This window comes from Homo sapiens, chromosome 4 (genome assembly GCF_000001405.40).
Source record: "Homo sapiens chromosome 4, GRCh38.p14 Primary Assembly".
NCBI classification, from domain to species: domain Eukaryota; kingdom Metazoa; phylum Chordata; class Mammalia; order Primates; family Hominidae; genus Homo; species Homo sapiens.
Genome location: NC_000004.12, coordinates 166,997,022 through 167,024,608, shown reverse-complemented (window position 1 = coordinate 167,024,608; position 27,587 = coordinate 166,997,022). Strand labels below are relative to the sequence as shown.

The following is a 27,587-nucleotide window of genomic DNA, read 5'->3' as shown; positions in this document are numbered from 1 at the left end:
GTATTTGTTCAAATTGAAATTGAAGAATATTTTAGTTGATATAGTTTGTTTACATCTTGCCCACTGATTATTTCAGGGTTGATTTCTAGAAATATAATTGTAGGGTTAAAATTAACTCTCAGGGCATCTCTTACATAATCTAATAGAATTTATTAGAAGAAATTTATAAACCAGTTAACGTGTAAGAAATTTATACATTTAATTGTGACCCTTTTATACTATTTGAGCTCCTGATCTTACCTATAAGTAAAAAATAAATTTGAAAATAATTCTGACTATTGGAATTAATAATAATATGATATTTCTAAACTCATTTTTAATTTTTTTAGCAAATCTGTCATTTTCAGCTGGAAAACGTCAGGGAAAAGACTGTACAAATCAGTAATTAAAGAGAGTTGAGTAGAAGTTGTGCGCAAAAGTGTGAACAGGTTAAGGGATCCAAGAAAGGATGGTGAAGCACCCAGGATCTAGCAACAGAGAAAATTGTCACCACTCCTAGGACTGACAGGATGCAGGGAACCCAGGCAATTCCTCCAGGCAAATTGTAACCACGGGAGAGAGATTCACCGTTAATAGCATCTGCATAGGTGAGGCATGCAGACATGGAGTAGCAGGGAGAGAAAAGGGAGAAATATACATTTTGACTTCTTTCTGCCTCTGCCCACCAATAACTTTGTAGAGGGCAAGGAGGTCAAGATGATAAATTTTAAAGAGGTCAGACTTACAGCGTAGAGCAGGATAGAAAACAGTCTGGCTTTGCATTAGGGGGATATTCAGCAGGGTTTACTTTCTTTTCTCCCCAGCATGTGTAATCTTGTCCTTTCTCTAGCCCATTTCTCCACGTGGGAAACATACAAAGTCCCAGTAGTCTCACCATATCGCTGTAAGGGAGTTTCAGTTTTGTCATATCTTTACAGAACCATGCCTGGAGCATTACAAACCACCAGTGCTCTTTAAGTACAGAAGCAGAGAAAAAGGGGGAAAAATAACTCATCAAAGAACTACGGCTGTTAAAGTCACCACTGGTGTCATGAAAGCTAAGTTAGTAATTAACTGTAGCTTCCTACACTGGCATCCATCCCATACCTCCACCCCCTTACTCTTTGCCAACAACTTTTTGCTTGTTGAATTTTTCTTTTCTTTTTTTTTTAACCTAGTGTGATGATCCAAGTCTTAATTCCCATATGATTGATATAATTATAGTATCTTTATTTGGTGGTTGCAATATCCAATAAACCAGTACTATTAGACATTTGAGTACTAGAATGCACCCAGGTGAATCCTCTGGCTACCAGACACAGTACCCATGGCTATCAATAAGTCTTTTTTTCTGAGTTCATAAAAGTTAGTCCAGGGAGATGCATTTTGGATTCCAAGATGCAAAATGGTCCCCCTGAAGAATTGTGCCATATCGGGACCTCAGCAATGACCTCTGCTCTTGGCAGTTTTGGCAAACATCTGTATCCAGATAAGCCTTGTGAGGGGAAGACCATTAGCTCGCATTGACTAAGTGAAAAACCATTTAGCCAAAAAAAAAATTCCTGTGCATAGTCTCTATACATGTCACCACAATCATTGTGTACATGAATTTCTTGAGCAAAAACTGGGAAGACTGGAGGAAAGACCTTGGGGACTAGAAAAAGAGCTGACTGTTATAAAAGATTTAAGAGCTCTCTCTGAGTGGCATTTATGTGGAACAAAAAAATCTGCTTCCTCTGAGTGTATTCCTGGAGGATCATCTACATATCTCTCTCACTGACTTCTTGTCCCAATCATTTAGTCTTGTTCTTCCCATGTCCATAACCAGCTGGCCAGCATATCAACCCTGGCCATGACTCAGGGTCTATTTGTAATTTAAGTCATGTTGCCTCCCACATACAGCACATTATGGGATATGCTGCCCTAAACTCTAATAGGATTTACCTTTATCACTATGTTTCAGGGTTACCTCTGAAGAGGTTCATAATGCAATGGAATTCATTTCTGACCTATCCATAAACTTGGGCTGTACTTTCAATTGTATCTTTTTCACCATCTGAGGCCCTACCTGTGGGTTGAGGGAAAAGTGGTACAACAGTATGGCTCAGCACCATGGGCATCTGAGTCACTCACTCAGTGTATTTGTCTTCTCCAGAACTTCTTGGCCTTGATCTTATATATACACATTTTATTTAATGATGGTATGTTCCTACACATTAGAAATCACCCAGTTTATAATGGGCAAATTGGGCTGCCTGGTTTCTTGGTTTACTCCGGTCAGGCTTTGGGGACAAGCTGGATAATATTTTTCAGTTGCAGAACAGTTGATGGCAAAAGAGGAATGTGTCTCATGTGAATATCCTAGAGATTTATATTATATTCTCCTACTGGGTCTTGGATCATAAGGCTCGCATAGCCTGGCTGCTTGCTTCTCAATCTGGATCTGGTGCAGGTCTTTTGTTTGCTCCACGCCCAACCTAGACACACAGTTTTATGAGTTATTCAGTACTAGATGGGAACAGCACATCCAAATGACGTTCGGGTATCACACTGTGCTCCAAACTAACAGAGTTCCTAGAAACTTTACCAACGTGACACATCCCAGAACTTTTGCAGGGTTTATCTTCTATTCTCTCACAAGTAAAAGAATTACTAAGTTATAGAGGTAGTATTAGGGTACTGCAATTATTATTGTTATTATATAAGCTTAATACCCACCGAAGGAGAATTGGGGTCCAAAAACCTTTAGTTAAAATGTACATTTTCTATTACTGAGAGATTAAAAAACAATCTGGACATGTCTGTGTGTCTGGTTGTTTGAGAACTCCGTGGGTTCATTTGTGCCATCCGAAATTATCTTGATTTGGATTGCTGTTTGGCGCCACCTGGTGGTGGCCGTTTGACCTTTTTTTTGTATAGATATGGGTCGTTCTGGCTCCTGTGCAACCTACTAGGACAGTGGCTGTAATTCTAGGAATTTCCTCAAGTTAGTTGGTGCCAGTTTTATCAATCTGATCTGGGGAAATCGACCGGAGAGAGGGGTAGGGATGTGGGAACTCTCTTGATCCCTGTCATTCCCCTGTTTAGCCTTCCTTGCCTAAGTTACCACAGTCCCCAGATAAGAACTTTTGACACCCACTTTTGAGAACTTGACTGGGAAGAAATAAGAGCCAGTCACACATCACTGTTTATATATCTCCAGTGAGAGGACTGATGGGTGGGCTATCACAAGATTTTAATAGATCTATTTTACCTTACAATTTTTTTACTTCAGGACTAACTCGCAAGAAATGACAACAATAAAGAAAATCATCCAAATTTCTGAAGTGTATAAGATTTATAAAATTTACAAATTATATAAGATGACTTAAATAGACATTTAATGAGCCACTTTGTGTTAATATTTTCTATGTTTTTGCTATAGTAAATAGTAAATATCTTTGGAAGAAACATTTGATTTTTAAAAGTCTGAGCATTTTATTTTAAGATTAAGTTTTTTCAAGGTCCAGTATTCTTATAATTTTTATTCAATGAGTGACACAGCATAATAATATTTTATCAATCGGTTTCAATAGGTAACCCAACTTAACAAGTGCTTCTTCAATTTCATTCTCAGGAAAAGTCAGTACTTTAATGAATCTAACAGTATATTTCCAATTAGAATTTGGAATTCACTTTTTCCACCTTTTAGTTCTGGCCCTAAGAAACTGATGCATCTTAACTTACTCCACCCATCTTCTTCAACTTTATCCCAACAATTTTGAAACATGCTGTTTTGATTGTTGTTTTGCTTGTATTAGTGGTTATTAGAGGTGAGCTTCTTTTTTTTGTAATGGGAAGTAAGGATATGGTTATTTCATGGAAAAAATGATGCTTCTTTCATGTGTCTTTGTGTTGCTAAAACAAAATACCACAGGCTTGGCAATTTATAAAGAACACATACATATTTCTCACAGATCTAGAGGCTGGGAAATACAAGATCAAGGCACTGGCATCTGGTAAGGGTCCTCTTGCTCTGCCCCCATATGGCAGAAGGTGGAAGAACACAAGGGACGTATGAACACTGTTCTCACATGGCAGAAGAGTGAGAGTGAACTCACACCCAAAAGCCCTTTACATAAGAGCCTTAGTTCATTCATGAGGGCAGCACCCCCATGACTTAATAACTGCTCCAAAGACTCCATCTTTTAATATGCCAAAATGCAGATTAAGTTTCAACATGAATTTTTAAGGGCATGCATTCAATCTATAAGCAATAGAGAAACTTTGAAGACATGTTACCCTCTTTGGAAACTGCAAATGCTATTCTAGAAATTTCCCCTAGAGGCCAAATAGGCACTTCATCTGCCTTAAAAGTTATATGGCTATTTTACAAAATGTTTTATTACTGAATGCATGGGTTTCCATATTTCCAAACTGCTGTATCTATTTTCATACTACCTCCTACCTGACCAGTAAGACAATGCACACATTTTAGATTTCTTTTATGTAGGCACTCCACTGCAAGATAGCAATATCTGCCTCCATGAGATTGGTTAGGCTACAGTAACAAAAGGTCCCAAAGTTATCTCATTTCAATTAAAGTTTCACTTCTGTAACATCCAATAGTATTTCCAAGTTCAGGGGGGCTTGTGCTCCAGTCACTCATAGCAACCCATGCCAATGCAGCTTTTCCCTCTTCAGTACCTGACCTTCCAGTGCCTTGGAGAGCACCATCTCAGCTGAAGTGGAAATATATCACAGAGGATGGTGAAGGAGAGATAATTATGGGATGAGTCTAAAATTGGTACACATTGCTTTTATTTATGTTCTATCAATTAGAATTCAGTCACACGGTTATAATTCTTTAGAAAAGAAGGTCGGAAAATGAAATGTTCAGGAGAAGAAAAAGTGATATTTGGAGAATGCTCAGTAGTCCCTAACACACATTTTAATTTTTGGTAAATAAATACCTTTAATGTGTACAGGTACAAAATTGAAGAATACATGATTTATTGCTTACTACTTTTATATTTAAGAATTCGGGATAAAAAACTAAATGCAAATAATTTAAAATAGAAAACTGCATACTTTGTAGTATTTACAAAACAAGTAACATGTAAAATATGAAATATATGTATATATTGTATACTATATATAATTTTGTATATTTAACATTCTCTATAAATTATATATGGTTATAACTCTATGTATATCACGTATATCTAACTGTATATATTTATATATCATACGTAAGTGGAAAAATACAGAAATGATAAATTTGCATCATTTTACCACAACCCTAAAGCTTATCAGAAAAATTTAGCCTTTTATTTTGAATTATAGGACAGAATAGGTTACATTCTTCTGTGATTTAGAAGCCTCAAAGGCCACAAACAATAAAATGGGTGCCAAAGACCCAGAGATTTGAAAGCTTAACTCAAAATGCAAGACCACTTAGTTGGATAGTGCAAAGAGATTGTGAAACTCGTTTTGTGAACCTCAGCTCTGAGTTTTACAAGAGAAATTGAAGACTGATCAGAGGGAGGGTTGATATTCACTTATAATGAGTTGGTGGTGTGTCGGGTGCATCCACTGCCTCTTGGGAAAGGGAAACAGCTGATTTTTTATCGTTTCAAATGGCTTCATTGTGCTCACTTGGAGAGACTTGTGTCCCATTGATCTTGAGGGACTTGAGAACTAGTGGTGATTCTGGCCTGGATATTTTAATGATAAATATCAATGGAAATTGCTACTTCTGTTTGTAGCAGGGCAAAATTGAGGTGGCTTCACTGAGAAAGAAAGTATCTTCCTTCAAAGATAGAGTTAGTGCTTCCATTTGCTGCATACTCTGCTGATAGAAGCCAACATGAAGCTATTCCAAATGGACCAAACAGACCACCTGAAGGACAGGTGGCATTCCAACTGAAGGATAGATAATAAGATATTGGATTCTCAAAGGCTGCTAGGTAGTAAAAATTGACTAGCCAGAGGGGAAAAATGACCTATCCAGAAGACACAGTCAGATATCCTCTGAAGGAGAATCTCCAAAGAAACAAAAGTAGCATGCCGGAAGAGGAAGAACCAACAATTGAGCATTGGTCATCGAGTGCACAGATGCCAGCAGGACCTGTTTTCTTTTCCACTGTTCTTTTATTCTGGGCGAATGGCTATAGAATCACAAACCATATTTAGTGAGTGGAGGGTATGGGAAGAAGACAAGAATTTTCCTCATCCCACTCCAGAATTCCAAAACTAAAGTAGGACCCCAGGTGGAGAGTGAATGGAATATGGAGACATTCTAAAGTATGTAATGATTAAACCAGGCTGGACACTTCATTATATAAAGGTGACTAAAAATACTGCCTGAGATTTTATGTGAGAAAAGGAAATATTAGGTGCAAGGAGAAATAGTAGGTGTAAAAAGCAAAACTCATCAGGAGCAAATTGAACACTGCAAACACTTTCTAAGAATTAGATTGTTTTTTATTAATACTTGTACTCTATTAATCAAGATCATTTATTATACAAGTTATAACTATATATCAGCATAAAAAACTTAACTTGAATGTGTGAAAAAATATAATATTTTTACTTAGTCTATAGTATTTGGTTTCTTCCCAAGTCCCTAAAAGAGAAAAATCTCTTAATAAGTCCCTTCGTGAGAAAGAAAAAAATGTACAATACGACTTGTTACTTACTCTAATTTAACAATTAGATAACAATTGAATAAAATAATTCAATCTAATCAATATTGGGTGTTTTTAATCAATATCACCCAATATTGGGTTTTAATCAATATCCTGTTTTTAATTTTTTTAAAGACTGAAACAAAGGTTTTAAGTACAGATGTGTTGAAAGCTGTGTCAAACATTGCTATCAAAATAGCTAACACACACATGCATACACACACTCACACACACACACATACATTCATATACAAACGGTCAGGATGGGGCTGGGCTGGCAGTGAGGATGGAGATGGTGAGAGAAATGTTCTTAACTCAGGTATCTGCATTGGATGTTAAGTCTCTTAACTGTCTCCTCATTCACTTTTCCTCTTTCCAAGATAGTGTCAGTCTGGGTGTAAGGTGGGCATGGCTGGTGAAGGGGAGACTTAGCCCTGCTGAGTACAGACTGCAAATTATCTATCATGGCCTCTATCTATCCAGTGGCTCTACTCCACTCTGGAGACAAGATCACTTCAGTCTGGAGAATGGGTCTCATGCCAAGCCCTAGTGGCTCTCAAGTTAGTGACTATGCTGGGTAGGAACTGAGGTGGCCTTAAAAGTGCAAACAAAGATTTCCTTTTGACTGAGCAGCTCTCCTCCCAAGGTTATTAAGATATGTTCATGTCTGAGACTGTCCCAGGACGGTTTTGTGTGATGGCCTCTGTGTTACTGTACAAATGGTAACAGTAACACAGGGGTGCAGATGATCCCCTGCCCCACTGTTTGGAGTTTTACTCTCACTCTTCCGAGCATTGCCCAAAAGTTGAGCTGAAGCCCAAGGAAAGGGAAATGGGAACCCAGGTTCAATTACTTTGCTATCTGCCCTTGTTATTTCTCCATTTTTCCCCTCATTTATTCCAAGATAGAAAATATGGGAAGGCTCTTATATTCTTTGCATGTTTCAAATCTTGTCTTTACTACACCCTAGCCTAATAGAGATCCATTCCATTCCATAGAATAATCCTATGATCTTGGTCTTTCAGACTCATTGTTGATAGCTTACGTAGGGACAGCAATGGTGTAGTTAGAAATCTGGGAAACACTTCCAAAGCTTTGCATCTCAAAGTAATTAACTTGCAAGTTCAGCCGTGGCTCACACCTTGTAATCTCAGCATTTTGAGAGGCCAAGGCTGGTGGATCAGCTGAGGTCAGGAGTTCAATACCAGCCTTGCCAATATGGTGAAACCCTATCTCTAGCAAAAATACAAAAAATTAGCCTGGTGTGGTGGTAGACGCCTGTAATCCCAGCTACTCAGGAGACTGAGGCAGGAGAATCGCTTGAACCCAGGAGGCAAATGTTGCAATGAGCTGAGATCGCGCCACTGCACTCCAGCCTGGTGACAGAGCAAGACCAATTAAAAGAAAAAAAAAAAAAAGATTTTCTGGGTTCCTTTTGCATCTCTCAGTGACATATCCAGCTTTCTTCATGGGGAAATTATACGCAATATAGTGAAGATTTTACATTCTAAAAGTTAATTGTGCAACGGAAATTTACAATTTTCCAAACATTTTATCTAAGTTTTAAAGTTGAACAAAAATATATAGCAGCATTTTATCCTCTTTAACCTTTTTTACTATTGATCAACCCTGAAATACTTTGGAATCTCATGTTTCAGATTCATTGTTGTTCTGTTTTTTAAAAAATATGTTCTTTTTATTCTCCAATAGCTTAATCAGAAAAATAAATTTCTAATATTTAATATCAAAAACTACTTACAGACTTAACTGCTTAGCCATTTGTGTTGCTTGCATTATTTTTCATATCATCAAGCCACATATTATAATTCCACAGGCTTTCCTGTCAGTTTCAAAAATTGGATTCTGCTATAACTATTCAGTCAGGCCTAATTGGATCGTCAATTTACAACCCGAAGAAAGTGACTATAAATACTTTTTGAACATTTTGAATATTTGGATAAATACTTTTTTTAACAAAAAATTCCCAGTGTCTTTAGATTTTTAAATTAGGCACTTTGGCATATTAGCTCACCAGATATGGCAAACTATTAATCTGATAGATCAATGTTAAAGATGCAGTTCTTTAGTAAATAACAATTAGGAATTTTCATTTGCACCAGGATGAACTACAGATTAGCATGTCTAACAAAATAAGGTTACCGAAAGGGCTATGAGTGTCAGAAACCACTCTATCATTTGATGCAATTACTTGGATAATTTCTGGGTTTTAATCTAATCACGCCTAAGTAGATGGCAGTCAATGAAAGTTTCGTTTAACAACAGTCAGATCATTACTTTCCAACGGATTGTTTTTTGTAAGCAGCGATATTAATTGGAAATGACAAACTGAAGACTAAGAAAGATCCATAAGGCTCATTTACCTGCCAGGTTGATTGTTAACCTTGCTTAGCTAAAATAGTTTATTATTCTTGCAATTGCAGCTCTATTTAAGCAACATCAATCTTCTGAAAGAAGAAATTATTTGAAAAACATTTACAAAGCTTTAATTTGTAAACTAGGTTCTAAAAATTTCTATGCAAAATTAAAGATAATTCTTAGGTTTAAATTCTATTAAGTTGTAACTTTAGCCAGTATTATTATTGGTTTTACAAAATAGTCTCAGTTTTAAAAGTCTGGGCATATATAAAGCCTCTTTTCATTTTTAGAGTATTTAGATTCCAGTAGTGAAACCCAAGTCTTTTATAAACATTGCCAACAGTATTTGAATGAAGTTTTGGGAAAATGAGATGTAGTTCTGTGTCTTCTTTCATGTCATAACTTGGTTTTTTAAAATTAGTTTTATCTATCTATAGGGAGCAGTATTTACCTTCTAGAGGAGCACCCTCTGTGAATGGGGTAGAACTGAATTATACTATCTAAATTTTAATAGTGGAATTTTTGATGTTTATTTCTGATTGCATGGTTTTGTTGTCCTGAAATAGTTGATTTAAAAGGCTTTTAATATTCTTATATTACAAAAATATTTTTAAAATAATAATATTTTAGAAAAAAGAGTAATTTTCTTTTCCATTGAGGTATAATTTACTAAAATAAAATGCAGTAATTTTAAGGGTAGTTTGAGACATTTTTGTGAATGCGGATACCCGATTTAAGAACATTTCTCTCACCATCTCCATCCTAACGGCCAGCCCAGCCCCACCCTGACCATTTGTGTAGGGGTGTGTGTGTGTGTGTGAGTGTGTGTATGCATGTGTGTGTTAGCTATTTTGATAGCAATGTTTGACACAGCTTTCAGAGAAAACATATCTGTACTTAAAACCTTTGTTTCAGTCTTTAAAAAAAATTAAAAACAGGATATCTCTCTGTCACCCAAGCTGGAGCATAGTGGTATTATCATAGCTCACTGCACCCTCGAACTCCTGAACTTAAGTAATCCTTCTGCCTTAACTTTGTGAGTAGCTGAGACTACAGGTGTATGTCACCATGCTCGGCTAAATTTTTATTTTATTTTATTTTTTGATGTCACGGAGTCTCACCTTGTTGCCCAGGCTAGTCTTGAGCTCCAGGCCTCAAGCAATCCTCCTGCCTCTTCCTCCCAAAATACTGGGATTGCAAGCATGAGCCATCTTGCCTGGTGTGTTTTAAGGCTTAGTTTCATTATTCTTTAAAAAGAGTTTATGTGAAAATTATTATGTTTACCTTAAAATAGACAAAAAAAAAAAAACCCACTCAAGAAAAAGTAGAATTTATTTAGGGAAGTGGTGAGTTTAGAGTCAAAAGGATTTTATTGCATGGAGGAAATTCTGTGTCCTACTAGAGGGCTGAGAAAGGCAGATTGTTACTCAAAGTGGGCCAGAGATCCTCCAGGAGGAGCTCAGTAGAAGTGCAGGGCACGTTACAAGAGATTTTATAGGGGTTTCATAGCTAATCAACCAAAAGTCAAATGATAATGGCCAAATATAATGCTTTCTATGTGCCTGTAAATACTCTAGGCACCTAACACACATTCATTCAAAGTTACATACACATCTTTTCAACTCAATGTGAATTCTTAAATATATTTCTTATGTGTTTATGCACTACCTCCCAGGCTAGTTAAATCACACAATTATAGGATATTTTATTTTACATTTTAGAATTAATAGCCCAGTTTTTCCAATTTACAAATTAAAACATTAGGTTTAGGATGGTTAGGGGATATCATCAAGGAACTACCGATAAACATTACTTTATCAAGCCAAAGCCAAAATCGCCATATTAGTAGGGGCTTTCTTTTATGATTCTATTTGAGACAGCTTTTTTGTGTTAACTAAATCATAGATATATTCAGTTCTAACACCGGAAAGACAATCCCAAATATAAATCCTTAGGGTGAGAATTCAGTATCTTCATCTTTATTATATATCATGTAATAGATTACAAAATGGAAACCGGTAAAAATATTTTATGATAATATTTTATAATACAATAGTTTTATAAATAATATTATTTATACTAATATTCACTGTATTTAACATATATGGTGATCAATATTCTGAAAGGCATCTATTTTATAAAAGAAATCCTATTAGCATTTATTTTATTAAGAAATTTAGAAGACAATATTATATATTGACAAAGAAAACAAATGGTAGCAAACCAAAGAGAATGGTATTTTAAAATCTTCCTCAATCCTTTGTCTAGAGTAGAACAATAGTAGAATAAATTTCTGCCTTGTAATAGCATTTAGATTTTTCATTAGCTTTGATTTGTCAATGTAGTAGCTTTTGCTTTTAATAAACATGTATTAAGATATCATTGAAATAAATATTATGGTATTTTGGTATTTATTTATTACAAAATAAATTAATCCTGCAATGCATCAAAATCTGCTAATAGGTAGCCTTTCACATTTCATATTTGCAATGGGGAGATCAGAGTTAGAGTACATGGATTTTATACAACTGAAGTAATATTAAGGTTTGAAACTAATAAAGTCAATCCAAAGACTCACTGTATTTAATCACTTTTAGTACCACAAAATTGACTGTCAAAAGTCTAATTAACTATCAAGTATTACCTCTACTTTCTATGCTGCTCAGTTGCAAAGCCTTTCATTATAACATCTGGCAAGTTTAAAAAAATCCCAAGAAAACCACTTCTTCCTATAGCTTTACAGCATAGAGTTACAATGAAAGAAACTGCTATCAGAACAACAAAAACATATTTAATGCTTTATTATTAAACATTAAAACGATTTTAAAATCATGTTAAAGTTACTGGTCACTTCATTTTTTGTGAGAGCACACAAATAAGCTTAAAGAAACATTTTAACAAATGAAAGATGGCTATGTACTGATTGCATTATTTCGTGTTGTGATTTTTCCAAAATTGCCACTAAACTCTGAGTTTTACTATTCATCTGCTTTTAAATCATGATAACTGTCCAACTTAGTCTTAGTTTTCTTAATTTTTTTCCCCAAGTGCTAAAGAGCTATCTCATCACCTAAATATAACTTAATCACCTAATATAACTACATCACCTAAATGTAACTTAAATACTTTAAGTTACAATTGAAATTCAAGAGAAGGGTATATTTGCTTATGTGTTTGCCATAATAGTGGCAGATATATGTGCCACAATACAAAATTTTGATGATAAAATATAATACCCAGGAAGGAAAACTGAATTTTTACATATACAACTTTTTTTTCCAGCTCATATGAGGAAAGTTACACGTTTGCATATATACTAGTAGAGGCTGTATAATACCAATAATTTTTAACACTTGACAACTTCATTCTAAATGAATTACATAACTGCTTGTACCTTTATTCACTGATATTTGTGTTTGTATGCATCTTTCTTTTAGATTTTCATTTTTAATTATTAAAACATAGTCCCAAAACATTACTGGAAAAATCAATTTGAATAGAAGTTGCCTCATTTTTTCAGTTTTTTAATTTATTCATCCCAACCTTGAAAAATGTCACTCAATTAAATGTGAAATAAACTGTATTTTTAAAAGAATGAATGGAGAGTAGAAAATTATTTTTATTTGAATCACACACAAAAATATTAAAAAGATATAAAATAAAACAATAAGAGGATTATTATACAAAATGTATACCCTAAAAGATTTTGCACAGTTGTAAAAAGCATACCTCACATTTGGTTCTGAACTTCTTGATGGTTAAATGAAGGATGGAATATAATTAATATTTACAAGGTTAATGGTCTCCAAAAGAGACTGAATTCAATAAAAGCAATAGGTCTTTTATGTATTTATTTGTTAGAAAGCCACATTTGCTGATGAGTTGATGTTTATATGGCCAACTAATGTATTCATCTCCTTAAAGCTCAAGGCTTACTATTCTAAGACATACTCAAATTCTTGAGGAAAGGACATAGCATTTAAAGCTATATTTTAACAACATTGATCCTGGGGAAACTTTTTGTTGTCGTTATGGTTATTGTTAATATTTTAAAATTGTTAAAATTACTTTAACATTTGCATATTGAAAAATGTGAAATTGTAATAAATAACAAAGATTTGAATTTTGGTGGAGGAAAGTAACAATACAAAGTAGAGGTTGAGGAATACTGGGGCATGGAAACAATGATGACTACAGAATAGAAAAGGAAAGTATTTTAGAGAGGTTGTTTGAATAGGTATGCTTAAGGCAACAACCCCTGAATCAACTGATGACATTTCCAGCTCTCTCCTTCCACGATTTGGGGATTTTTGTGTGATGTGAATATTGCCATAACTGCCTTCCTTTGGATTAGTACTTGCCAGGTAAGCTTTTCCCGCATTTTTTTTTGTATTTTTTACTCAATTTGTATTATATTTTAGGTGCAGCTCTCAAGAACCCTTAAGAGGTTTTTATAAGTCCAATCTAAGATTATCTCTTTTTTTTTCTGTTTCACCAATTGTGAGTTTTGATATAATTGAGTTCCTTTTTATCATTTTACTTTGTGCTAGTTTAAAAGTTATGAAATCTCTTGCTCTTCTTTGAGTAATTTGTTTTAAATGTTTACATGCACCACCAGCAAAACTGGATGAAAGTAACTATATAATAATTTGCTCCATTGCCCTTCTGAAGAGTGCTGGGATTTTAGATCACATTAGTCACAAATCTTTGACATTCGACTTCCTCACTATTTTTAATGAGTTTCACCTCATTTTATCTCCCCCCCACTGGAAATTAATCATTTTTCTATTAATGTGTTTACTAACATAACTAATTTCAAATCATCAAATTTTATCAGTTTATTGCTCATCATCGCTTCTTGCAATTCACTATTCCTTCTGGGTCCGTCGGTATACTTTCCCCCTATTTGTTGAAGCATATCCTTTTGTTGTTCTTTCAACATGTACAAATTGTGCTATATATACATTTAATAATTTTTTATGAATGTATCTTTATGAACATATTTTTCATAAATGTATCTTAAAGAATAATATGGATGTGTCTGGATTTTTTTTTTTTTTTTTTTTGAGACAGAGTCTCACTGTATCATCCAGACTGTAGTGCAGTGGCGTGACCTTGGCTTACTGCAGCCTCAACTTCCTGGGCTCAAGCGATTCTCCACATCTCAGCTTTCTGAGTAGCTGGGACTACAGGCATGGCCACCACACCCAGCTAATTTTTGTACTTTTTGTAGAGATGGGTTTTTCCATATTGCCCAGGGTAGCCTCAAACTCTTGAGCTCAAGTGATCTGCCCACCTCAGCCTCCCAAAGTGCTGGGATAACAGGTATGAGCCACCACGTCTGGCCTGGAATTCTTATTTGATAATTATTTGTTCCTCACTGCAATATATGATTTCACATGTTTTGCCATGATTTGCCATTAACTCGTAAATTCACTCTTAGTCTGTGGTTGTTCCCTGAAAACAAACTGCTTTTTCCTTTTGGTTGCTTTCAATTTACTCCCCCCACCCACTTATTGTTTATTTCTTTGCAGTTTCAGCATAATGTGCTTTGGTAGTTAAATTTTAATAATTATACTCAGAACTCCCTATTATTTCCTCTGAAGGCTAGGGTTGTTAATCTGCAACTACTTTTTAAATTTTAGTTCTTTTTAATTTCTAGAAAGTCTGTTTTAATTTTTTTCATATTATCATGTTGTTTTTATATTTCTATATTTATTTTATATCTTTAATCAAATATTTTCTCTTATGACATGAATTAATATAAACATGCTTAATATTTTGTCCCTTTCTGATTTTACAAGAATATTTTGATTTCTTGATATGCTAGTTTTTGAGTGGATTAAATTTGGATTTTTGAGTGGATTGGATTATTTGTTTCCTGGTGTGGTTTGCAATTTTGTGTGTGTGATCCTCTTCATTATGTTTATTTTGTTATTTTTGTTGTTGTTTTTTTTGGTATTGTGAGGGTTCTGTATGCACTGGCTGGTGAAAAATTCTGATGCTGCAGAAATTGCATTTGTTTCTCTCACAGCCTTAGAATTTGTAACTGGTTTCCACCAATATTTTGTTAAATTATGAGCTTGAATTTTTTTACACCGTGAAAGTAATATAAATTAAAACCTCACCACCAATGTGGAAAAAGACTTGGAGTTTTATATCCTTTCATGGTAATTATTTTTTAAACCAGTGTCTGGATACACTTGCAATTTTATGTTTATTTTGGTTAGTTGCTGGGCTTTCTTATTTAATTAAAGAAGGAGCTCTTCAGGAATCCAAGCTTTAAAGAGTTCCCAAATCTAGTTCCCATTTTCTTTGCATTACCCAAGAGAACAGGTAATGCCCTCGGATACATACTAAAATTGCCAGATCCTAGCCTATGGTTTAGTATTTTTTTAAGTTATTTTGTTGTTGTTGGATGTTTGTTAATATTTTTTAATTATAATTTTTCTGGATATGGGACAGACATTATTGAAGGATAAATAGATTATCATGTAAATATGATATGAAGCATATTAGTTATACAAAAGAAAAAGTAATTGAAGACCTTTTATTTTTTAAAATTTTTTAGGGGTGTATTATTCTTTTTAATTGTTATGGATTCTGGGGGTACATGTGCAGGTTATTACATGGATGTACTGTGTAATGCTGGGGTTTAGCATCTAGTGAACCCATCACTCAAATAGTGACCATAGTACTAAATAGGTAGTTTTTCCAGTCCTTCCCCTGCTTCCCTCCCTTCTTGCTGTTGGAGTCCCCACTGTCTATTGTTTCCATCTTTAGGTCCATGTGTACTCTTTGTTTAGCTCCCACTTGTAAGTAAGAATATGTGGTATTTGATTTTCTGTTTCTGTGTTACTTCACTTAGAATAATGGCCTCCAGCTGTATCCATGTTGCGGCAAAGGACATGATTTCATTCTTTCTTATGGCTGTATAGTCTTACATGGTATACATGTACTACATTTTACAAAAGACATTTGAAAACAGTAGTCAGCATATAAGCACAGGTTTACTTGGTTAAAGAGAAAAATGTGACTATCTAAAATGAGAATTCATTTTTGAAGAAAGAATTTCTTAAAAAGCCTGCATAACATCATTATATGGTCCCTAAATATGTAAGACTTACATATTCAAATCCTCTACCATAGCCTTTTATGCTACAATTTTTATAGCTTCATGCTAATATTACCTCTAGTAATATAGTTTATAATGTTGCTAAGAATTATAAATGTCCTAATATGACTTAATCATTCTATATTTGAAAATAAGAATTAAGTATATATTTATATTACAGTAGGATCGACATGGTATAAGAATCACATATAAAACATTACAATAGAATATTAATCTTCCTGAAATTCTTTATGATCTAGTACATTTTTTTAGACCTTCAACTCTGTATATAAAAAGTTATTTTTAGATGTAAAACTTGCTATTATAATACTAATGGACTGCTACTACTGCTCAAGCTCAAGAAATAAATATATTTATAGTTTTAAAACTTATTTTCATTAAGTGTCTTCTTAGCCTTACCAATTTGCATGAACCTTATGCACATTTTATTAGCACTGAATTACCTTTTATTCTTTTTCCTTTTGACACTTAGAAACATGTGAAAAATTTATTTCTTTCATAAATCCTCTTGAAACAAAATAAAATTTTGAAATAGAGTGATATTTAGAAGGTCTAATACCTTAGCATCATTAGACTGTGGCCAATGGTAATATTCATAATTAAACACTGTCCTGTCACCTTCACTCACGAGAGGAGGAAAAGCTGTTGACAAAAGCATCATCAGTAAGCTCTTAGAGGTTCTATTGAACACAGGCAGGCTTGTCACAAATTTAAACTTTTTCATTTTAAAGTTATAAAGCCTAGTCAATACTTTTCTTGCCACAGAAGAAGAAAAGGATTTTCTACAGCTATAATAAAGGGCATTTTAGATTTCTACAGGGCAATGACCTTGTTTTATGAACAATGTGACTGACTTCTTTGCAGCCAGATGGTTAAGGTTTTATGGAGAGTGCAGTAAGGACTGACATGTTGCTTAAATCAGATTACAACTGGCCCTCAGAATAGGCAGTCTCCACATCTGTGGATTCAAGCAGCCACGGACCAAAAATATTTGAAAAAAAAATTAAAATAGCAATATAACAATTAAAATACTGATAAAATAAATATAGTATACCAACTATTTTATAGCATTTACATTGTATTAGGCATTATGAATAATCTAGGGATTACTTAAACTGTACAAGAGGATGTGTGTAGATTATTTGGAACTACTACACCATTTTATATAAGGGTCTTGAGTATCTGCGGATTTTGGTACCCTCTGGGGTCCTGGAACCAATACTCTACAGATACAAAAGGATGACTGTATATATACTGTGTTAGCCACAGAAGAATAGAGCCAGAAGCCAGGGTATTAATGTTTCCTTGAGCTCCATTAAATTCACACATTTCTGAGAACTGAAAAATAAGGCTTCAAGGTGAATGCAGGGATATATGTACTCCTTGGAAGAAGGCTCTGGTGATGGAGAACAGGCTTATGAATTCTAGTGATAACAACAACAAAAACTTCCCTTAAGTACATCTCCATGGAAAGGAATCTCTATAGAAAAGAATGACAGCATATTTACCCAAAGAATCCTTGGACGTGGCCATGCTGTGATGAAAGAGCAAAGTGGCACCTGAGAGTTTTGAGTTGCGAGGGATAAAGAGTATGTGAGAGAAGCAGTGCTGTAGTAGCAACAGGTATGAGGAAACAATACCCGTAGCTAGAAATATGCCTGGGAAAAGAGGCGGAATTAAAATAGAACATATGATGAATATTTTAAAAATAGTGAAAAATTAATGAACAGATCAAATAGTTAAAGGTTTCCCCAAAAAGTCTGTATTTTGCATTAAAATGATAGTGCTTTCATATGAAATGTAAAGATCAGATTAAATAGATGGCTTTTAGGCATTGTTGAATGATTTTCTGGGTAGGCGAATTATCGGAATACAGTATTAGGTTCCAAGCAATTGCATATGGAACTGACTTATTAGAGAGAAAGTAACATATGTAAGCATAAGAATGAACTCTCAGAATCAAAACTAGACAAATACTCTGGTAATAGTCAATCTTACAGTCTTTTCTGCTTGTCTTACTAGATATTATATATGAATATTATTTCAGCAAAAGTTTTAACTTTTTATTCTGTTATAGAGAATATAAAGGTCAGCTGATCACAGGACATTGTTTCAGCTACTCTGAATCTCACCGAAAGCTCAGGAAACGGGATTCTTCAGTGGCAAATTATTCAGGTTTTGTAATTCCAAGGGCTTGGGTTTGAAACCTGGTTCTACTAATTGCTAGTTATACATCCTAGGATAAACATTGTATTTGATCTATAATTTTCTGATATCTAAAACTGAGATGCTAACATGTTTCAGAAAATGGTTTTAAGGATATTTTACACATAAACAAAAAAGAACTATACTGGCACAGAGCAGATACTGAATAAATTGCAATAATTGAATGCTCATAAAATATCCCATCCAAATGCTTAGAACGGATGTGTATAGAATTTTGAAATTTTCATATTGTAAAAAATCAATATGATTTGTGTATCATATAATGCATGCAACTATATGTATACCCTGTAAAAAAAATTATAATTCTGCAGCATACCACCCTGCAATTAAAAATAGTAGTCCTTTTGAAGCTAAATGCTAAATTGACTTAAAATCATAAATTAATTTACATTAATTCACAGTATCCTTTTCTTTATCAAATGAGATTTTCACAAGTATTTGCAAGTCCCCGACAACAACAACAACAAAAACAAAGACCTTTCAATTATCAGAGGTTTTTGGGTTTTGTGATTGTAAGTCAGTATTTTAAAGGACATTGAAATTCTAAGGTTTAAGAGCTTTCCAATCATTTCTCATCCAGAGTAGAGGGTTTGCACAAAGTATATAAAAGGATTTTGAGTACTGTTTTTTTTTTAATGGTTTCTGCATCCCTGTTCTCAAAATATTAAGGCGATGGGCAAGAAGTTGATGACTCCAAGAAAATCATTGTCCAGTCTGTGCGCGGTGGCTCACACCTGTAATCCCAGGCCTTTGGGAGGCCGAGGCGGGCGGATCACGAGGTCAGGGGATCGAGACCATCCTGGCTAACATGGTGAAATCCCATCTCTACTAAAAAATACAAAAAAAAATTAGCCAGGCGTGGTGGTGGGCGCCTGTAGTCCCAGCTACTCGGAAGGCTGAGGCAGGAGAATGGCATGAACCCGGGAGGCAGAGCTTGCAGTGAGCTGAGATCGCACCACTGCACTCCAGCCTGGGCAACAGAGTGAGACTCCATCTCAAAAAAAAAGAATAAAGAAAAAAAAGAAAATCATTGTCCATTATTCTGTTCTCAGTATGTGTAAAACCTGGGAGATGGTGCCTGCGTTCTCTGTTCCAGCCCAAAAATGTGCTGTGGGAAGAAGATAAGAGAGTTGGCCATAAAAATAAGTTTTCCATCTTTTTACTTTAAATATGTCATCAAGCTGAACATCCTAAAAATCTAACTAGATTACAAGACTGATTATGTTTCTAACGTACATTCTTTGAGATGACTGCTGGAGGGACATCTTTCCCCTAACCTCTCCTTGGAATACAAGATCCGAATATCTAGGTGACAGCTGAGTATTAGTATCTGGATGTCACCACAGGCATTTCACTAATATGAAAGATAAGGTCATCACCTTAACTTCTCACAACTAAACTTGCTGTATTTTTTTTCTCACCACCAAATATCTTATTTATTGTTCAGTGGTGCCACCAAACACCATTTCTTTTATTTCGACCAATTTCCCCCTTCTATTATATTAATAATTAGACCCTATTGAATCAGTGTCCTTTTTGAAATGCATCCCCTCTTCTCCATCTTCACACCCATTTATCTTAGATCAGGTTCTTATTCTTTCTCTCTCATACAGCTGGTTAATATCCCTGTCTTAATCACACACACTTCAAACCATCTCCAAATTCTTGTGTGTGGTCTTTCTGCAATAAATAATCATGCCACTCTTCTAGCTAAAATCATGCCAGGCCATGACATTACCAAAACGATAAAACTCTGGAAGGCTAAGAAGCTTCCATCTCCCTGTTCAGTGTTTTCCACGATACTCACAGGCGATATGAGCATTTTATATTTCACTGGTCCTGAACTATCTGCCATTCCATGAGTAGGGCATCCTTTTTCTACATTTTTGCTATTTATTCCATCTACTTATACTGGAGCTTCATTTTGTGCACTTGGTGGGTCCTATATTCTTGTAAAACTTACCTAAGGTGTCGCTCATTCTAGTTTTCTCCCATTCACCATCATGTGATCTCTCTGTCTCTCTGTGTATGCATATTATATATTGTTATGTAAGTTCCACTTAACAATGTATTCTAATTATTAATAACTATTTATACATCTCTGCCAACAAAAATGTTGAGTCTGCTGGAGACAAGATACAATTCTTGTACGATATCTGTCCTAGCATAAACTAGGAAGAATCAGGCCTCATCCAGCCCATAATGGTGGGAATGCCTGAGGCAGCAAGGGTAGGTGAGACCAAAAACAAATGTGAATGAAGCCCAGGGCTTTGTCTGGAAGTAACTGGGAAAAATTCTGGACTAAAAAACAAGTATTCTGGCAAAAGATTGAGGGAGATCCTACACTGCGAATGTAATGACGCTCAAAGGATACATTATATGGCAGTTGTTTAAAATACAGATGGTGTTTTCTGAAACACAACCAAAAAAAACTTACTTGTCAGGTACCCAGGTTAGTTTACACTGACCAGAAAGTTTATTAGAGATTAGGATGAAGAAAAGAATATAGCCAAGTGAAGTCAAATGCAATTGCTGAAATCTTTCTAGAGGTAGTTTGACTGGTTGCTGGAGAGAAAACTAAATACAATCATGCGGAACAGAAGAGGAGACGCTAAATGGAAAACAAGACGGAAAGAAGAACACAACAGAGGGAGATGATGAATTTATGCCAGGTCCCTTTAAGGCAGAGGATTGATTCTAATCCGTGGACTTCAGCCAAGAGAAATTTGTTGTGTTATTGTTGTGGTTTCAAGAATAAAATCTTAGGCATCTGTATTTACAGTGTGTAATGTTTTGTATTTTTTAAGCTGCCAACAATGTGAGTTCTACTAAAAAATACAGATGGTTAAAATCTCATGCACAGAAAGTGGTCTTTTTGTTATTGTACATGCTATGTATCTGATTCTTTATATTTATTTTCTCCTATATTTTCCATCTCCTGACAAATACTGCTCCTCTCTTATTTGGTCATTTACATAAAATCCTATGTAAAACTCATTACATTATTTTTCATGTGTTAAATTTGTTCTATTTTCACTGTATATCAATTTTTGAGTTCCATTTTCTTGAGCATACATGACAAAACTGTGTGACAGAACTTTTGGAAATTATCGAATGCAGATTTTATAAGGTAAAGAAACAGCTATAATCATACCAGTCTGCATTGGAATCGTAACTAGATTAATCAAAATTTTATATGTACTATAGTGTTTTATTTCAAAATGAAAACACTCCTTTTTCAGAACATAAGTCCAAGATTAAATATACTCAAAAGGAGTATATGACATATATGTACATATAGTACAGAGGCAGTACATTATTTAATTGTTAGGCAGAATTGTTTAATGAATTTTAAAAAGTGATTTTAGTAATTAGACATCAACATAGGCTAAACATTAGAAATAGCTCAAAACACTTTTAATGTCTTCTAAGTTATAGTGTGTTTTTTTCTTTTATGTTGTCCAACAAGAAGTCATACACTTTTGTAGTGCAGTATTTCGAAGACAGCTTTTTTTTACCTAATGATGATTCAAACTGTGATAGTCTGAAAAGAATGTTGTAGCAATTTACATTTGCATAGTGAACAAAGTATATTTAACATGTTATAGACAATGAAAAATTAATATAGTTTATTTTCATTATTAAAGCTACTGACCAAACAAGGAAAGCTATAATTAATCTAATCATTACTTATTTAAAAAATTATCTTAGTATGGAGAAAATTGAAACATTTATCTTCCAAATAGATGCATTTAATGTCTTGACCACTTTAGCATGGAATAATATAAAATGTCTGTTAGTTAAAATGTCACCAATGATATGTGTTAACATTCTTTATTTTAAATCTCATGGTTATGTAAAATCTCTAACAAGAGTTTTGCAGAAATATACTTTATATATTTGAAATCAGTAAGATATATGTGCATATATATTATAGCTTATATCTGTATTTTATATTGATTATCAGGCCGAGGGCAGTGGCTCACCATTGTAATCCCAGCACCTTGGGAGGCTAAGGTGGGTGGATCATTTCGGGTCAGGAGTTCAAGAGCTGCCTGGCCAACATGGTGAAACCCCGTCTCTACTAAAAATACAAAAATTATCTGGGCATGGTGGTGGGCGCCTGTAGTCCCAGCAACTTGGGAGGCTGAGGCAGGAGAATCACTTAAGCCTGTGAAGTGGAGGTTGAAGTGAGCCGAGATCGCACCACTGAACTCTAGCCAGGGCGTCAGAGAGAAACTCTGTCTCAAAAATAAAATAAAATATAATAAAATAAATAAAATGCATTGATTATCAAAATATATTCACTTTATTTAGGCTATTGACTAAATATGCTTAAGAATCAGCTTGAGTTACCCTCAAAGATTATCTCAAATCCACATTTTATTTCCGCTGGTCAGCCTGGAACCCTTCCAAATACTTCTGCATATTCCAAATGCACATTTTTCTGGTTTTATTTCTCTTTGTGCACTAGAATTTTTTGTTTACCATATTTCATTGTTTCTTTCTCTCACTTTTGGCATGTACCAAATCTGGACACTCAGTGCCTTTTGTTTATTTGTACCAACTCCTCCTCTGGTCTGCCCCCAACAATAAATTACAACAAAGTGTCACTGGGATTAACCATGAACGATCACCAATAGCAGTATTATTTACAATAGCCAAAAAAGTGGAAACAACCAAAATTCATATCTACTAGTGAATAAATAAAATGTGGTATATATGTAAAATGGCATAATATTCAGCAATATAAAGGAATTAGGTAGTGATTCATGGTACAACATGATTGAACTTCAGAAACATTGTTCGAAGTGAAAGAAGCTAGTCACAAAGCACCACAAATTTTAACATTCAATTTATATAAAATGTCCAGAATAGGAAAATCTCTAGAGATGGAAATTAGATGAGTAGTTGCCTAATACTAGTTGGAGGGGAGAGGGAATAGGGGATGATAATGATAACAAGACGATATGTTTGGGTATTTTTGGTGATGAAATTCTTCTAATATTGATTGTGGTGATAATTTTATAATTGCAAACATACTGAAAAATATTGGTTGTAAACTTAACTGCCCAAATTGTGTAGTATGTGAATTACATATAAATAAAGATGTTATAAAATGAAACCGTCGACATTTCACATAGCCTTTTTGTTGACAGCCATCAAGACAGGTTTGTTTGAAGAAATGGTGGTCCAAATATTATGCACAAATGATGTAAAAATGAAAATGCAGAATCTCAGTTCTTACTATGATATATTCATCCAGTCTCCAAATACAGCTCTAGACTATTTTTGGATAGCCAAAGATATCCATTAATGTCCACTGACATTTTTGTTTGTTCATTTTGTCCCTTTTATTGACCCACCAGCATTTATCTCGGGAAAGCAAGGGTATAGATTGCAGTTTTCCACTGTCATAAAATACTTCAGTAACATACTCTATTTCACCACCTTTGCTGCTTAGAAGGCAGTAGCAACTACAGAGAGTTTGAGTCTTAAAGTTTCTATTTTGATAACACATTGTCTGATCATAGGCATATGTGCATCTTAGCTTCTGAATAGAGTGGATGAGACAACTACAGCTAGCTGTTAACTCTGAGTTATGTGGGTAGAAGCAGAAGTTTCTCTTAATAGAGAAAGAATGTGAAGAAAGTTTACAATTAAGCATTATGTAAATGACCTGATCAAATTGTGTTTGATGGGATTTGATACCTCCATTTTACAGAAGCTTATTTTAATATTTTCTTTGCAATTTTTTTAGCTTTAGATCCAGCTAAGGATCCATGCTTAAAGATGAAATGTAGTCGCCATAAAGTATGCATTGCTCAAGATTCTCAGACTGCAGTCTGCATTAGTCACCGGAGGCTTACACACAGGTAAACATTGTTAAATTTAATCCCACTGATTGAACAGCGCTCCTTACCAGGAATAACTGCAGAGTATAAATATTTGGCAGTGCCTGCTAATCTTTTATGCAGAGTTTTATTGAAACAGTTACAGAAGCTTAGTTAATACAATTATGATTCACTTGGGTTAAACATTGGTATCAGTCACAATTACTACAGATTATAGAATTTGAGGCATATATTATTAAATAAAGAAGGTCTTATAAAGATGATATTTAAAATGTTATATCTAGTTGTTTGTGCTTTTTCAAGTTTAAGGAACAATTAGTTTTGTTCCCTCTACATATTTTTGTTTGTGGCTATTCAAACATCTTTATTTCCCTCAGGAGAGAGTTAGAAAGTTAGAGGAGAGAAAATGATTGATGTTCATAAAAAGAGATTAAAAGTCACGAAATAGGGACTTGGGACTTGAACCCCTCAGGATGCCTTCTTTAGGGGTCACTCATACCAGTGGAGTCATTGTATCTATTCGGTGGATGCTGATTCACAATTTCTAAAAAAGAAGGGAGGATTTCAAGTATCTTATAACAACCAGCACTGCTTCTGTTAGACGGGCTCTGTTTTGGGAAGGACCAGTAATTTAGAAATAGCCTGTGTAGTTTGGTGCTGAGTCTTAAAAATTTGAACGCGCCACAATCAAACATGAATTCATTGTTTAACCGACTGAAACAAGTGGTGTATTCGTTTCCTTTATCATTTTTAAAGTTATTTTTTGAGAATACTCTTTCTCTGATAATGGACTTATGTATTGCTTTTAAATCAAATGAACAAAGAAAATTTTGCTATTTGTGTGTGCTCAGAGAAAAATTGGATTTTTGGCTTTAGTGTACTTGCATATAAATTCTATTAAACACACCAACAGTAAGAGAATAAGAATAATAACATTGGAAAATAAGAACATAAATAGCATTTCTAGGAAACAGCAAATATTTAAGTTACATTGATGTTTCTCATAATGTAAGAGGACATATACATAACACCCTGTTGTACATGCCAAAAGGATTAGAAGTCTTTATTCCACAATGTTAAGTCTATAGTGGCAGATTTCTAGAACCAAGGGAGTTGGATATAACAAAGGTATGCGGGTTTGAAAATGTGTTCACTTGGGTTAGAATCATGGTATATCAATAATGTACTCGTGGAACAGAGAGAGGGAGTAGGAGAAAGAAAACAACAGTTTGGTGATATAAAGAACAAAAGACTTCTTGGAAATCACAATTCTGTAAAGTTAGCCTACTAGGGGAAAGCACAAATGGGTGAAGCAGTTATCAGTAACATATCCCCCATCAATCCTGACTTTGATGCTAATTTTACAGAGGGATAACAAAGCTTTGGGCCAGAAACTCATTTTTCTATTTATTTCCTTAGGATTCTAAATTTCTTGGCATTTCTATTAATTAATCATACAAATTTAAAAACATTAGTATGTGAATGTGTGTATATAGGGGGTGAAATAAAAAAGAGAAGGGTGTCAAAAGGGATTCATATATGATCTCTCACCTAAGTTACAGAGACTAAGTCAGTTTATCTCCCATAAAAGCAAAAAACTGTTTTATCACAAGTTCTAGAGACCCTGGGAAAGATTTCCACGTGCAGACATTTAACAGCTTTGAAAAGATTCACCTGCCACTTCACCCCTGGCCCCGTGAACCCAAGTCAAAGAGCAACCAAAGACGTCGCAGTTAATATCATGTCTGTGGCAGAGACACACTCGTTTTGACACCTGCTGGACACTGAAGCTAAGAGAGGTTAAAGTAACTGCCTCAAGACTACAAAGCTAGAAATTTTCAGAGCTTCAATTCTAATCTGTACTGATCGACCCCAGAGTCTAAGCTTTTTACCACTATGCTGTCTCGTTACTTCTCTGACTTATTAAACAGCTTAACTACAGGCAAAAATCTTCCTTAACATGATAAAGACTATCAGAAACTGATAGCCAAATGTCCCTTAATATATAAAATTGAAAGATCCTTAATAGGGCACTACTGAAGCTTTGCCTTTGGTGTAGTGGTGGAGAGGGTTCAGAGGGGAGACTAATATGCTTTTAGTGGGTGAATTTCAAAATGTTTTATGTAAATAGTATTTAGTCCTGTTCTATTTCTGATAGAGACTATTTATAAATGTCCATTCAATCCATGCTCTATTCAATAAATAAATCACTAGTTTCCAACAAATTGATTTTAAGATTAATATTTGATATGCTTTATTTGCCTTGAGGATGTCAGTACATAGTGATTATTTATACAACGCTTAGGGAAGAAGAGCTTTGCCAAGCACTTTGATCAATAAAAATGGCTAATATAAATAATCTAGATCTTAGATTTGAGGATTGTGTGTATTTTGGGGATGTGGTAGAGAAAGCAGGGAAAGACGGCTTAATTGATCAATTTTTGTCCATTTGCATAGTTTAGAATACAAATTGCTACCTTTTTTCTGTTTAAAGGAACAACTTATTCTTTCTTCCCTAGATCTCATAAAAGAGAAAGGAAACCCGCTGTTTCTTCCTGCAAGGGGAATACAGTTTTTCAAACACACTTTCCAGTCTCCTCTTCCCAATACAATATATCACACTCATTTCTCCATTGCTTTAGAATTTCAACCTTCGCATCTTACAGTGCTCACAACATTTGTAATAGTTTGTCTAACATTGATCTCCTTCGACTGACTGAGCTCAGTGAAGGTGTCTTATTTACTGCTGTGTACCCAGATCTTGAATTACTGCTCAGTACATGTTTTCTTTGAGGAGGTTAGTAAAACAGCTGCCATTTGTAAAATATTTAGGAAGAAAATTTTGACAAATAGTTTGATCAATTGAAATGGTCAATCTAGATAATCTAGGTTTAAACATTATTTTCTTAGTGCTTTGCGTATATTTGCTGAAAATGAATTAAGAAGGGTATAGGCATCAGTCAACAAGTATGTTTTAATGGCAGAATAAATGAATGCATGATTTATCAAATAAAAGGAAAAGGAGGATTTTTAAATATTTTATTTTATTTTATTTTAAGTTCCGGGATACATGTGCAGAATGTGCAGGTTTGTTATATAGGTAAATGTGTCCCATGGTGGTTTACTGCACCTATCAGCCTATCGCCTAAGTATTAAGCACCGCATGCATAATCTGTTTACCTTGATGCTCTCCCTCCCCCTAACCCCCACCGACAGGCCACAGTGTGTGTTGTTCCCCTCCCTGTGTCAATGTGTTCTCATCGTTCAGCTCTCACTTATAAGTGAGAACATGTGGTGTTTGGTTTTCTGTTCCTGTGTTAGTTTGCTGGGATGATGGCTACCAGCTCC

At 34.6% G+C, this 27,587-nt stretch overlaps 1 protein-coding gene across 12 annotated transcripts in view; it reads left to right on the top strand.

Annotated features, from left to right (window-relative positions):
* SPOCK3 (SPARC (osteonectin), cwcv and kazal like domains proteoglycan 3) overlaps positions 1–27,587 on the top strand; it is a 501,562-nt gene that overhangs the window by 210,337 nt on the left and 263,638 nt on the right. For 9 of the 12 annotated variants that reach the window (XM_017008258.2, XM_011532018.2, NM_001204354.2 and 6 more), the window contains one exon: positions 24,146–24,260. The exons of the other annotated variants lie outside the window; for them this stretch is intronic. In XM_017008258.2, the coding sequence (XP_016863747.1) occupies positions 24,146–24,260 (115 nt within the window). The remainder of the gene's footprint in view (positions 1–24,145; positions 24,261–27,587) is intronic. 12 annotated transcript variants of the gene reach the window in all.